Here is a 14,664-nt window from a genome sequence, read left to right as displayed (position 1 = left end):
ATGGATATATGAATTAATAATTTATTAGGTGGGTGTATGAATGTGTAATTGGATGGAGGTATAATTGGATGTAGAATTATATGGATGTGTGTATGTATAATTGAATGATTAGATGCATGTATGAATGTATAACTGGATGGATGTGTAATTGGATATATGACTGGATGGTTACATGGATGGATGGATGGATGGATGGATGGATGGGTGGATAGATGAATGGATGGATGGATGGATGGATGGGTGGATAGATGAATGGATGGATGGATGGATGGGTGATGTGTAGATGATTCGATGTATGTATGATTGATTGGATGAAGATATGGGTGGATGGATGGATGGATGGATGAATGGATGATGTATAGATGATATATGTATGATCAAATGGATAATGGGATGGATGGAGGAAGGAATGATGGATAATTGGATGAATCGATGGAAGAATGAATGATGTAGAGATGTATGGTTAGATGTATGTATGATGGATGAATGATGGATGGAAGGAAGGATGGATGGATAAATGGATAGATGGATGAGCTGGTGATGTGCAGATGTATGATTGGATATATGTATGATTGGATGGATGATAGGAAGGATGAAGGAAGGGATGGGTGGATGGATGGATGAATGGATGGATGGATGAACCGAGGGAAGAATGGATTATGTACAGATATATGATTGGATGGATGATAGGAAGGATGAAGGAAGGGATGGGTGGATGGATGGATGAATGGATGGATGGATGAACCGAGGGAAGAATGGATTATGTACAGATATATGATTGGATGTATGTATAATTGGATGGATGATGGGATGGATGAAGGGATGGATGGATGGATGGATGGGTGGGTGGGTGGTGTATAGATGACTGGATGTATGCATGATTGGGTGGAGGGAGGAAGATATGGGTGGATGGATGGGTGGATAGATGGATGGATGTGATGGTAACATGTAAAGCTTCCATCAGAATTTCTGAATTCTTTGCCAGTACCTCTTAGTCATCTTCCCTCAGCTCCTCCTGTGCCTGGCACTGCATGCCCAGAAAAGCCTCTCCAGTCTTCCCAGTGGTGTCTCAGCCATCAGATCAATGGTTCCTCAGCTCTCAGCTCAGTGAATTCACTCCCCTCTGTATGACAGAAATTCCTTACTCTTCATGCACATGGTGGCTGAATGGGTTTCCTCTGCTGTCTAATTGTCCTATTCATGGCTTAGACTCAACTCTGGAAGACTGGAAGATAGAGCCTCTAGAGAGTCAGGCAGATGGGGCCCAAATCCTGGCTCCACCACCTATTGGTTGTGTGAGGCTGAGCGAATTACCTAACCTCTCTCTGCCTCAGTTTTCTCCCCTGTATAATGGGCATAGTAGTAGCTCCACTGGCTCACAGGGCTTCTGTCAGCATGAAATTGTTGAATGCTTATTTAAAGCACTTTGTACCATGCCTGGCAGATGAGACGTCCCCAATAAGTGGCAGTGATTATTTTCAGTCATTATCATGTCACCTTGGTTGAAGGGCCCAGTGTAGCACTGCTCATGCTCACCAGCAGGAACTTGAGTATTTTATTTTATTTAGTGCCAATGGTGGTGATGCAGATATGGAATTGACTGGGAATCCTGGAGGGCCCCTAGCAGATAGCTGACATTGTACCAGATGGACAAAGTGGCTCTGGTCATATGAGGAAAAGTCAAGCATCACGTTGTAGTCACATACCCCGTCAAGCACATGGGGACTTTTAGTCTGGAAATTGCAAACACTCCCTCTGTGGCACAGACTGCTGAGGGTCCACCTGGTGTCCATTCTCTCTACCCTCCTTGGGAACAGAGCCCTGATATGATAGAGGACAGAGCTGTGCCCAGTTAAAAGGCCACATCTTCCAGCCTCCTGGGCAGACAGGGGTGGCTGATAAGAAGCTAAGGGAAGTCATTGGATAGGAAGTCCAGGAAAATGTCTGGATGGGAGGAGCTCAGCTGAGAGGGTCTCCCTTTGTGCCCAGCTCCCCTTCCTCCTTTTCCAGGGGCCTTTCTGAACATGAGACATCTTGAACATGGAAGTCACATGCTCAGAATGGTGGGGTTTTTTTTTGTTGTTTTTTGTTTTGTTTTGTTTTTCTGGCTGTATGAAAAGATCATTGTCAGTTCACTGGCTGTGCAAAACAGGCTGGGTACCAGAATTGGCTTGTGGGTTATAGTTTGTGGCGCGCTGCTTTAAGGAATGGCTCTGGGGCCTCAGTGGGGGACAGGATGAAGGGCGGAGGGTGTAAAGGTCTCATGGCTGCTGTTGCAAAACCAAGGTTTGTGGTGAGGAGATCTGTGTCGGATGGAATGGAGGTGAGGTCCCTGGGTGCTGTGGAGGGTTGTGGGAGGAACTGGCCAGGGTCATGATGGACAAGCTGATGGTGGTATCACCAACAGCAGTAGAGAAACCAGGAATGGCCCAGGATGGGGGAGCACAGAATTTGGTTTTTACTTGTTAGGTTTTGGGTGTGGCTTGGGCATTCAGTGGAGTTGTCCCTTGGGCGACAGGAAGGCTCTGTTGAACTCCGAGAAAGGCACTCCACCTGGGGCGGGAGTAATTTAGAGTCAGTTTCAGGATGGGGCTGGTTCTGTGCATGAAGCAGAATGAGAAGATGAAAAAAAGGCAAGTGGAGTTCCACTGTGAGATCAGACACCTCATGCCCTTTGTTAAAACACTGTCCCTGGACACCTGGCCCTGGCTGCACCCATCCCACAAAGAACAGCTAATCCTGAACAAGCTTCCAGCATGAACATAGCTCCTTGGTCCTGGAGCTTTTGCAAAAGCCTGCAAACTGCCGCAAGAAGGCTTTGGACAAATGGAGAGGCAGCATCACGCAGACTTCTGGGTTTTGTTATTTTTCAGCAGCCTTGACTGCCAGGGCACAGGGACATCTATATGGGCATGATGGTCCCCCTTTCCCCAATCTGTCCCCAGCTTGAGCCCTACAGTCCTTATCATTTGCATTGGTCTCCTTGTTAAATCCCTTGGAAGTAGTGAAGGAGGAAGAAGCCCCATTTGCATGTCTTATCTGGAAGGCATAACAAGTTAACTCATCAACACCTTTTAATTCATTAGGGTGCACTAGTTTATAGGTAACCAACTTTCATCTACTTTTCAGCTCTCTTGGGCAGGTATCCAGCCATATTTCAACTCTTAGCATCCACTTAGACACTCTTTGTTCTGGCATTTAACGTGTAGTTTCTTGTCTTCTGTCACTTATTTAAAATGTTGTTAGTAAAGTGACACCTTCTGCCAAGTCAAACCTGTCACACCCGACATCAAAACAGCTCCTTGTAAGCTTTCAGTAGCAAGAATTAATTTGATGAGGATTATGAACACCTTAAGTATTACTTGCTTTCTTGGAAAGTATATTCTTTGGGTAAGCAAATTATCTTGAAATGCTTTCCTTTCAGAGCAATTTCTAAAAGGTTGGCAATTTAGATTTTGCATTTTTATATACAGTATATATAGTGCATATATATATACACACACATATGTTTTGGCATAGAACTTCTGATCATGTTTTATGTGAAAGCTTTGAATAGTTTTAGCAAACATATTTTAGGCAACTCAAACACTAACTTGGTGAACTTGTCCTCACTTTACACATTAAATTTAGTTTTCTCTTCAGAAAATAAGAGTGGTAAAACCTACTTCTTTCCTGGACTTTATTTCATTTTTGTTTTTTGAGACAGGGTCTTGCTCTGTTGCCCAGGTTGGAGTGCAGTGGTACAATCACAGCTCACTGCAGCCTCAAACTCCTGGGCTCAGATGATTCTCCCACCTCAGCCCCGCAAGTAGCTGGGACTACAGGAATGCGCCACCACACCTGGCTAATTTTTGTGATTTTTTTTAGAGACAGGATTTCACCATGTTGCCCAGGCTTGTCTCAAACTCCTGGGCTCAAGCAATCCACCTGCCTCAGCCTTCCGAAGTGCTGGGATTATAGGCATTAGCTACCGTACCTGGTCTCCTGGAGTTAATTTTAAACGAACTTGTTATTTTGGAACAGTTTTAGATTTACAGAAAACTTGTGAAGTTAGTACAGACAGTATACCCCACATCCAGTTCCCTTGTTGTGAACATCTTACAGGATCATGGTACATTTGTTGCAGCATAATACATATTTTAAACTGACTCTAAGCCAGGCTGCCCTGCCTCTAAATAGAATGTCATTTTTCACTGGCACAATCCATATGAGGCACATGTTGTGATTCTAACTTGGATTCCACCCAAGAGAGCTTAATAACTGAAGTTCCAAGGGAGCTTGGTGGAAAGAGTGACAAGGGGGAAATATGGTCCATGTGGGGCTGCAGCCATGGACCTGCTCTGGCAGCCCACGGTCTGAGCATGAGGCTCCTTTGTCATCTGTGAAGCGGACGTCATCCACCCTCACGGGCTGTTGTGAGCATCACCTGCTGCCAACAGTAGAGTGCTACAAAAATGTCCCAATTAGCATTCTGAGGTAGATCCCTTATAAGTAGAGTGGCATTTACTATCACCCAAATCAGGACACTTGAAAGAGAAAGCAGCACTATTTTTTTTTTTTTGAGAAGGAGTTGACTGGGCACGGTGGCTCATGCCTGCAATCCCAGCACTTTGGGAGGCTGAGGTGGGCGGATTACCTGAGGTCAGGAGTCCCAGACGAGCCTGGCCAACAGGGTGAAACCCCGTCTCTTCTAAAAATACAAGAACTGGCCAGGCGTGGTGGTAGGCGCCTGTAATCCTAGCTACTTGGGAGGCTGAGGCAGGAGAATCGCTTGCACCCGGGAGGCGCAGGTTGCGGTGAGCCGAGATGGCGCCACTACACTCCAGCCTGGGCGACAGAGCAAAACTCCTTTTTTTTTAGGACGGAGTCTCACTCTGTCACCCAGGCTGGAGTGCAGTGGCACGATCTTGGCTCACTGCAACCTCTGCTTCCCAGATTCAAGTGATTCTCCTGCCTCAGCCTCCCAAGTAGCTGGGACTACAGGCACCCACCACCACACCTGGTTAATTTTTGTATTTTTAGTAGAGACGAGGTTTCACCATGTTGGCCAGGCTGGTCTCGAACTCCTGACCTTGTGATCTGCCCACCTTAGCCTCCCAAAGTGCTGGGATTACAGGTGTGAGCCACCGCGCCCGGCTGAAAGCAGCACTATTAATCATGATGCAGAACAGATGCGCTGGGATAGGCTGGGACACCCACACCCCAGTCCCAGGCACCTGGTGAGAGAACTCTTCATCTCTCTTTGTCAGGAAAAGAGGCAAAATCTGGCCCCCAATCCCAGTTTCCCCCAGCAGCACCAACTGCCAGGGGGGCAGCTGGGAGAAAGTGGTTTCAACAGGCTAACCTTCGGGGTTGAGGTCTTGGGGGCTACCACCCCTCACTTCACACATCCTGAGCACCAGGGTGGGGCAGGGACAGGGTAGGCAGTGTTGTGGGATGGAGAGGAGGGAGGGACGAGAAACAGCAGAGAAAGAAAAAGATGGAGTGGGGAGAGAAGGAGAGGGAAAGCGGGAGTGGGGGAAGTGGGAGAGGAGGTGGAAAAATTCAGTGGAGGGGGACACAGTGAGGAAGGGACTGAGAAGGATTTATTTATTATTATTATTATTTGACATGGGGGTCTCTGTCGCCCAGGCTGGAGTGCAGTGGTGGGATCTTGGCTCACGGCAACCTCCGCCTCCTGGGCTCAAGTGATCCTCCTGCCTCTGCCTCTTGAGTAGCTGGGACTATAGGTGCATGCCACTATGCCCGGATAATTTTTAAAATTATTATCTGTAGAGACGAGGTCTCACTATGTTGCCCAGGCTGGTCTGGAACTCCTGGGCTCAAGCAATCCTCCTGCCGCAGCCTCCCAAAGTGCTGGGATTACAGGCGTGAGCCACCGCGCCCGGCCTCTAAGAAGGATTCAAAGGAGAAAACAGGGGGTGGGGGGAGGGGGGAGGGATAGCATTAGGAGATATACCTAATGTAAATGACAAGTTGATGGGTGCAGCACACCAACATGGCACATGTATACATATGTAACAAACCTGCACGTTGTGCACATGTACCCTAGAACTTAAAGTATAATAAAACAAAACAAAACAAAAAAAAACAAAACAAAGGAGAAAACAGATCTCCTGGCTTGGAGCCTCTCAGGTGCCCTCCCTGGGGAGCTGAATCTGGCAGCACTGGCTGGAGCAGTCAGAAAGCACATTTCCATCTTGCCATCACCACGTGATGGCTGACCTCAGGCAGGGAGGCTGGGCCGAGCTGCATTCCCCGGTCCCTCTCACCTCCTCACCCAGAGCTTCTGGAACACCTCTGAGCAGCCCCTGCTCCCCCAATACGCCCATGTCTTCCTTCACCTACCCCCAACCCACCTGCACCCACTTTCCTAATTCCCAAATTCCTCATAATCCAATATCTTCGCTGATTCAACAGATAGAAATCTGAAACGTGCCTCCCAACCAGTCCTGGAACCTCTCCAAGCTGGGATGGCCACTCCCTGTGCGAGAAAGCTGGTGGTCCCAGCTTCCCACACTCAGGGGACCTCCCAGAGACCCCACCCACTCCAGCAATCTTCCTGAATAGACATATCCAGCAGAGGTCACTTCCCACCTCACAACTCCACGGCTTCCATGCACTACCCATACCCTGGGCTGCAAGGTGTTTTCTTATTTTTAGCATTAAAAGAGAAAAGTAGAGTGTTTGCCATTTTGCCTCCTTAGAAATGGGTATGGAGGCAGGGACTGAGTCCATCCTGCCCTCGGGCTGCACTGTGGGCTGTTGCTGTGAGCACTCACTGCCAGCCACACCCATGGAAAGAAGGGCTCCTTGTAGCACAACCCAGCGCGGAGACAGCCTCGACCAACCTTGAGACAACCTCAGACAACTTGGTCCAACCCTTGGACCAACCTGGCACTCCAGCAGTGGGTGAAGGGCCAGCATGGGAAGGCAGAGGGAGGGCTGTGTGCTCTGTGGGGTCCCCAACCATGTGGTCTGACAGTGAAATGAAACACATTTCATTTGGAAAGAGAGAGGAAGAGGCGAAGTCAATTTGGCCAAAAGATGGTATTATAGAATGTTTAGAAGTCGATGTTGTTTATTAATGTGGCTACAGTAAGAATCCCAGGGCTAACCAACTCTTGCTAAAGAGAGGCCACTCAGGCCTGATCTAAGTAAGAGATAAAAAGCAATGTTTAAAGTCACATATTTTACATGCTAATCAATACCACTGATTTATAAGCTAACAGGTGTGGCTAATGCCTCAAAAAGTACCCTGTATTTGAGAGATTGTTAAGGCCCTAAAATCTCTGTCCCTACATTCACTCATGTGGGTAACTCAAGGTAAATTTCTTTCTTTCTTTTTTCTTTTCTTTTTTTTTTGACAGGGTCTTGCTCTGTTGCTCAGGCTGGAGTGCAGTTTTATAATCACAGCTTACTGCAACCTTGAACTCCTGGGCTCAAGTGATCCTTCTGCCTCAGCATCCTGAGTAGCTAGGACTATAGACATGCACCACAACACCTGGCTAATTTTTAAATTATTTTAGAGACGGGGTCTTGCTATGTTGCCCAGGCCGGTCTCAAATTCCTGGCCTCAAGGGATCCTCCTGCCTGGGCCTTCCAAAGTGCTGGGATTACAGGCGTGAGCCACCGTGTCTGGCCATTATCTCACTGCTTGAGTTATCTTGGCCCACTCAAATTAATGAGGCTTTACTTTACTGACAGTCTAAGACAATAATGTATTTAAAATTTCTTTGCAATTCTGGATGCAAACTGTTCCCGCCACCCCTTGGCTTGCAGTGATCTGGGCCTGCTGTGCATGGCTGTCCACTAACCTTTCAGGCCAGCGTCCGTGTCACCCTCTTGGTCTTGGTGCATGGTGTAGCCCCCCTGATCTTTCCTGTCCCCCAACCCGTACGTCCCAGCGTGATCTTCCATCACTTCGAACTCCTGGCGGGGCTCAGCCATCCTGGTTCAAAGTTCACCTGGGGAAAGAAGAGGAGAGGATAAGTTCTGAGGAGTGTTGGGGGGCAGAGTGGGGGTGAAGAGAGAGAGGAGCCTCTCCTCCCAGTTCATGGCAGGCAGATCTCAGCCTCCCTGCTACCCTCTCTAACAGTTGGCCGCCCATCCTCATCCCGTGCTCCATATTCCTGCCCAAGCGTTATTTACATCTATCTGCTTGCTTAATTTACCAACACCGCAGCAGTTCATATTCAACACCACCAGGTGACGGCCAGGCATGGTGGCTCACGCCTGTGATCTCAGCACTTTGGGAGGCCGAGGTGGGTGGATCACCTGAGGTCAGGGGATCGAGACCAGCCTGGCCAACATGGTAAAACCCCATCTCTACTAAAAATACAATAATTAGCCAGGCATGTGGCAGGTGCCTGTAATCCCAGCTACTGGGGAGGCTGAGGCAGGAGAATCAATTGAACCTGGCAGGTGGAGGTTGCAGTGAGCTGAGATTACACCACTGCACTCCAGCCTGGGTGACAGGGTGAAACTCTGTCTCAAAACAAAAAAAAAAAAACAAAACAAATAAACCCACCAGGTGAGGCAGGTGAGGTGGGCCCGACTTGTTATTCCCAGCTCTCTTTCCACTTCATTAAAAAAATCAATGCTGCTGCCCAGCAGTTTGCTCTTTCTCTTTAACGGTGAGGGCACGACTGAACAGGAGAGGGACAGCATCAGCAGAGCCTGTCTGGTAAGGAAAGTGAGGCACGGAGAAGTGAAGAGATGGTTCAATCAGATGTCAACTGGCAGCAAAACCAACTCTTGACTCATCGGGGGTGTCCTGACTCCTCCAGCTCCGAGTTTGCTGGCTTCCTGGAGTCAGGCTGTGGCCCCCATTCACCACACCGGCACCCACCAGGTCCCCCACGTGTGTGTTCCAACGGTGGCTCTCCTGGTGGGCTGAGAAGCACCCCACAGGGCCCAGTAGGGGCATGAGGCTTGGGATCTGAAGAGCAACACACACCCTTCTTCCCCAAAAGCCCCAGCAGGGAGATGCCACTTCAGCTCAACAGAGCTGGATAGAAACCACCATTTACTCACACTTTGTCCTCATCTTTATTGTAAATTATTATTATTTTAAAAATAATTCATAACTTTGAATTTATGAACTTTTTTTTTTTTGAGATAGAGTCTCGCTTTGTTGCCCAGGCTGGAGTGCAGTGTCGCGATCTCTGCTCCCTGCAGCCCAGGTGAGCCAGCCAATTCGGGTTGCCCCATTCAACCTGCAGCTAAAGCTTTGTGAACACTAAGAAGTTTAATGAGCACAGTGGTTTTGTTCTTTGGATTTGATCTATTCCTTTCAATGACCAAGTTTCTTCTCTTGGAACATGGTGGACAGAGGTGTGAAAGTAAAAGTAAAAATCGGATGTGCTGGCTTTTCTTACACATTTGCATATTTTCATATTCGTAGCTCATGGCTATAGGAGGCCTGAATTTTTTTTTTTTTTTTTGGCCCCTGTGAATAATCCAGGATAAATGCTTTGTGGGTTTTCTTTGGGGGAGTGGGGACGGGGGTCTCACTATGTTGCCCAGGCTGGTCTCAAACTCCTGGGCTAAAGTGATCCTCCCATATCCGCCTCTCAAAGTGTTGGGATTACAGGCATAAGCTGCCACCATGCCTGGCTCTATTCATATTTTGAGTAAAACAGTACTTTGCTATTTCTTGATGAGAAAAGTAATACAACCTTATTATAGAAAATGTATTTATACAAAGCAAGATGGGAAGAGAAAATCATCCCTCTGCCCAGAAACGATTACTGTTGACATCCTGCCATACCAGACTTTGACAATCATGGATTCAGCTTTTGGAATTTTGGTCCATCATAAGTGATGTGAAATTCCAGGACAGGCGGCACATGCCATCTGGCTGAGGAATAAATTTGAACCCCTCTTCCTCTATGGGGGCTGTACGGGAGTGAGGCACTCAGTAGGGAGTGAGCCCAATCCTCCTGGCTGCCCTGTCCCATCCTAAAACGGCTCTGCTGTTCTCAGTCCTCCAGGGCACACGGTGACTCTGATGAAGAGGCAAAAATGCCACTGCTTCGTGAAAAATGGCCTTGAAGCAAAAGAGAACATTCTGATCACATTTGAAAAGGCAGATACTTTGTGGCACCAGGGCTTGACTTCTAATGAATGTATAACAGAAAAGATCAGGCACTTGTGCAAATGTGTCTGTTTTCATGAATCCGCGGATTTACAAAGGTTTGGGAATGTATGTCAAGGATCTGTGATATTTCCTTCTAGCCTTTTATTCTATGCATTAAAAATATAGTTGCAATTATGCTACTTGCTTTTTTCACATAAGATTATAGCATGAGCATTTGTTGGTCACTAAAAGCCTTTGTAAACATCAGGGGCACTAACTACCAAATGTTCCTTTCCACATATGTACCATATTTTCCTAACCATCCCCTAATAGTTAGCACTGAAATGGCCTCAGATGTTCCAATATTACAAATAAAGTTGCATTAAATATCTTTTTGAAAAACTTTGTCCATAATTTTTTTTTTTTAGATGGAGTTTCACTCTTGTCACCCAGGCTGGAGTGCAGTGGTGCAATCTTGGCTCACTGAAACCTCCGCCTCCTTGCTTCAAGCGATTCTCCTGCCTCAGCCTCCCGAGTAGCTGGGATTACAGGCCCCAGCCACCATGCCTGGGTAATTTTTGCATTTTTAGTAGAGACAGGGTTTCACCAGACCTCAGGTGATCTGCCTGCCTCGGCCTCCCAAAGTTTAGGGATTACAGGCATGAGCCACCATGCCCGGCTGACTTTGTCCATAGAATTTTGAGAAGCATCACCAATTGCTTTTCAAACAAGATCGGGCTTGTTGAGGGTGTAGCGGCTGTAGACACCAATTGCTTCTCAGATGCAGTGCAAGTGGGTATGAAGTGTGAGTCTTGTCAACACTGAGTTAATCATACACCTAAATAAATGCCAAAAAATTTTTGTGCTTATAGATGAAAGATGATGTTTTACTAATGTAAACTATGAACTTGGGTGATAATGATATGTTAATGAGGATTCATTGGTTGTAACAAGTGTACCACTCTGGTGCAGGACGTTGGCAGTGGGGGAGGCTGTACGTGGAGGGCAGGGAACATACGGGAAGTCTCTGTACCTTCCACTCAGTTTCACTGTGAACCTAAAAGTGCTCTAAAAAACAGTCTATTAATGTTTTTTTAAATGATATCCTAGAGTTGTTTAAATATGTGATGTTTTAATTTTTTCTGGGACAGAGTCTCGCTCTGTAGCCCAGGCTGGACTGGAATGGTACGATCTCAGCTTACTGCAACCTCTGCCTCCCGTGTTCAAGCAATTCTCCTGTCTCAGCCTCCCGAGTAGCTGGGATCACAGGCATGTGCCACCACGCTTGGCGAATTTTTGTATTTTTTGTAGAGACGGGATTTCACCATGTTGGCCAAGCTGGTCTAGAACTCCTGATCTCAAGTGATCTGCCTGCCTCAGCCTCCCAGAGTGCTGGGATTAAAGGTGTGAGCCACTGCGCCTGGCCTGATGTTTTAATTACTAGTGAGATCAGCATTTTTCTCCTCTTTTTTTTTTTTTTTCTTTTAAGTCAGGGTCTCACTCTGTTGCTCCAGCTGGAGTGCAGCGGTGTGATCTTGGCTCACTGCAGACTCTACCTCCCGGGCTCAAGTGATCCACCCACCTCAGCCTCCTGAGTAGCTGGGACTACAGGCGTGTGCCATCACACCCGGCTAATATTTATGACTTTTGTAGAGGCAGGGTTTCACCATGTTGCTCAGGCTGGTGTTGGAACTCCTGGGATCAAGTGATCCGCCTGCTTCAGCCTTCCAAAGTGCTGGGATTACAGGCATGAGCCGCCGCGCCGACCCACTCTCATTCTTTTTGCTTGTCTGTTCAGGTCTCAGTGCTTATTCTAATGACTTGTGTGGGCTCTTAATTTATGAATAACATTAACCCTTGATCATATTTGTGGCAACTATCTTCTCCAGTTGGTTGCCTTTTATTTTGGTTTCTGATGGTTTTTGATGGGCAGGGTTTAAGTTTTATATAGTCAAATCTGTTTTCCTTTGTGATTTATTCCATTGCTCTATGGTATAGAAAGATCATCCATTTTCTTCTACATTTTTAGTGGTCTAATTTTTTATATTTATTAATTCATCTGGAATATTTTTAGGTTTAAGATGGAGTGAGGTTGAAAAGTTTCTCCCCAAATATAACAGCTAAAGTCAGTGGACCCAGGCCTATTTGTAGACCAATCTGCCCTCTTCCCCAGGTGAATGCACCATGCACTCTGTCCTGCTTATCTGTCAATTTTGCTAGAGCCTCCTGATTTAGCTTTGGATCTCAAGTCTTATTCTCTAGGTGGGCTTAGATATCATTTTCTTTTTCAAAATTATTTGACCTTCTTGTAAGTTTGTCTTCCAGATGTACTTTAGACATTTTTTTTTTTCCTGCAAATTCTCAAAGTTCCACTGGGATTTCGGCTGGAATTGTATTATAGGCCAAAACTATAAAAATTGCTCCCTTCATGATATTTAGTTTTCCCACCCAAGAGCACAGTATGTTTTTCCATTTTTTTCTGGTTTCTGAATCTCTCAGTTGGGGGCGGAATGTAGTCCCACACCCTTCTTGCCACGGCCACGTCTCCCTGGGCTTTATGTCGCTTTTGTGAATGGGCCTCTCCCCATCAACACGTGGATGATTAATTAACCAGGGCTCTGGGGCTCACAGCAGAGATGTGGCTGGGGCACCAATCATGGCTGGGGTGCCAGTGCTGGGGCTGCCACAGTGGCAGTGGTTCCATCAGAGGTTTTCAGGGAATGAACAGGAGAGCCATTTCCCAAGCCTCTTTTGATCAGACAGATGTGATTCCCTCAGTGGGAAACCTCTCTCCATGAACTTGTGAAAAGAAGCTGCTAGAGTTCGCCAACAGACACGTGAAAAAATGCTCATCATCACTGGCCATCAGAGAAATGCAAATCAAAACCACCATGAGATAACATCTCACACCAGTTAGAATGGCGATCATTAAAAAGTCAGGAAACAACAGCTGCTGGAGAGGATGTGGAGAAATAGGAACACTTTTACACTGTTGGTAGGACTGTAAACTAGTTCAACCATTGTGGAAGACAGTGTGGCGATTCCTCAGGGATCTAGAACTAGAAATACCATTTGACCCAGCCATCTCATTACTGGGTATATAACCAAAGGAATATAAATCATGCTGTTATAAAGACACATGCACACGTATGTTTATTGCGGCACTATTCACAATAGCAAAGACTTGGAACCAACCCAAATGTCCAACAATGATAGACTGGATTAAGAAAATGTGGCACATATACACCATGGAATACTATGCAGCCATAAAAAATGATGAGTTCATGTCCTTTGTAGGGACATGGATGAAGCTGGAAACCATCATTCTCAGCAAACTATCGCAAGGACAAAAAAACCAAACACAGCATGTTCTCACTCGTAGGTGGGAATTGAACAATGAGAACACTTGGACACAGGAAGGGGAACATCACACACTGGGGCCTGTTGTGGGGTGGGGGGAGTGGGGAGGGATAGCATTAGGAGATATACCTAATGTAAATGATGAATTAATGGGTGCAGCACACCAACATGGCACATGTATACATATGTAACAAACCTGCATGTTGTGCACATGTACCCTAGAACTTAAAGTATAATAATAAAAAATATATATATATATATATATATATATATATATATATATATATATATATATATAAAAGAACCTGCTAGAGTTCCAGATGAGTTTCACGTGATGAGCCCCATTTGCTCTGGTCTCTATGTTTGAGGTCAGTGGTCCCCAATGCAGTGGTTGCCTATATTCCAAATTCATGGGTTCTAGAGAGAGCAGCTCCCTTTGGAGAGAGCCTCTGAAGGAGCCTGGGAAGTGTGAGAAGCCAGGGACCCGCATGCTGGACAGCTCTCTGTGCTGTGTTCATCACCAAGTCCCAAAGCCCCCCGCGGTGCCCTGAAAAGACAGGCTGGTAGTGAGGAAAGTTCTCTTCCCTTAGTCACTGAGTCCTGCCAGCCCCAGCCCACTGCCCACACACTGCACCCCCATCCTTCAGCTCATTCCTTTGCACAGAGACAGAGCAGGTCAAAGGCACCATCTGGCCAGCCAGGCTTGACCTGGGCCTGGTCATGAGCACTAACTCTAAGTAGACCCTGGCCACTTAAAATGCGTCTCAGCCGTTCTCAATGGGCAAATTAGGCATACATTTAAATGGAAGGAGGCTAGGCCCCATGGCTCACACCTGTAATCCCAGCACTTTGGGAGGCCAAGGCAGGCAGATCACCTGAGGTCAGGAGCTCAAGACCAGCCTGGCCAACATAGGGAAACCCCGTCTCTACTAAAAACACAAAAATTAGCCGGGCATGGTGGAGTGTACCTGTAATCCCAGCTACTTGGGAAGCTGAGGCTGGAGAATCGCTTGAACCTAGGAGGCGGAGGTTGCAGTGAGCTGAGATTGCACCACTGCACTCCTGCCTGGGCAATAGAGTGAGACTCCTTTCAAAAAGGAAAAAGAAAAAAAAAAAAGGAAGGAGTGTTTGTGCCGTGTGAGCCGTTCTCCCCTCTGCCTTCTGTTGGATTCTCAGAGGTGGCTCCCAGCACGCCCATCTTAGATCTCACATGGGGCGGGGTT

General features: G+C 46.8%; 1 protein-coding gene across 29 annotated transcripts in view; it reads right to left on the bottom strand.

Moving 5' to 3' along the window:
* The window catches only part of MAPT (microtubule associated protein tau), a 133,781-nt gene that overhangs the window by 58,047 nt on the left and 61,070 nt on the right, over nucleotides 1-14,664 (bottom strand). For 28 of the 29 annotated variants that reach the window (NR_165166.1, XM_005257362.5, XM_005257365.5 and 25 more), the window contains exon 2: nucleotides 7,818-7,967. Coding sequence is in view for 28 of the 29 variants with exons in the window: in XM_005257362.5 (XP_005257419.1) it covers nucleotides 7,818-7,950 (133 nt within the window). In the remaining variant the exon portion in view is untranslated. Of the gene's footprint in view, nucleotides 1-7,817; nucleotides 7,968-8,530; nucleotides 8,684-14,664 lie in introns of all 29 variants that reach the window. The other variant, NM_001377268.1, reaches the window with a different exon arrangement.

The sequence above is a fragment of the Homo sapiens genome, chromosome 17 (assembly GCF_000001405.40).
Source record: "Homo sapiens chromosome 17, GRCh38.p14 Primary Assembly".
NCBI classification, from domain to species: Eukaryota; Metazoa; Chordata; class Mammalia; order Primates; family Hominidae; genus Homo; species Homo sapiens.
The sequence above is the reverse complement of the archived record's forward strand: the minus strand, read 5'-3'. Positions and strand labels throughout refer to the sequence as shown.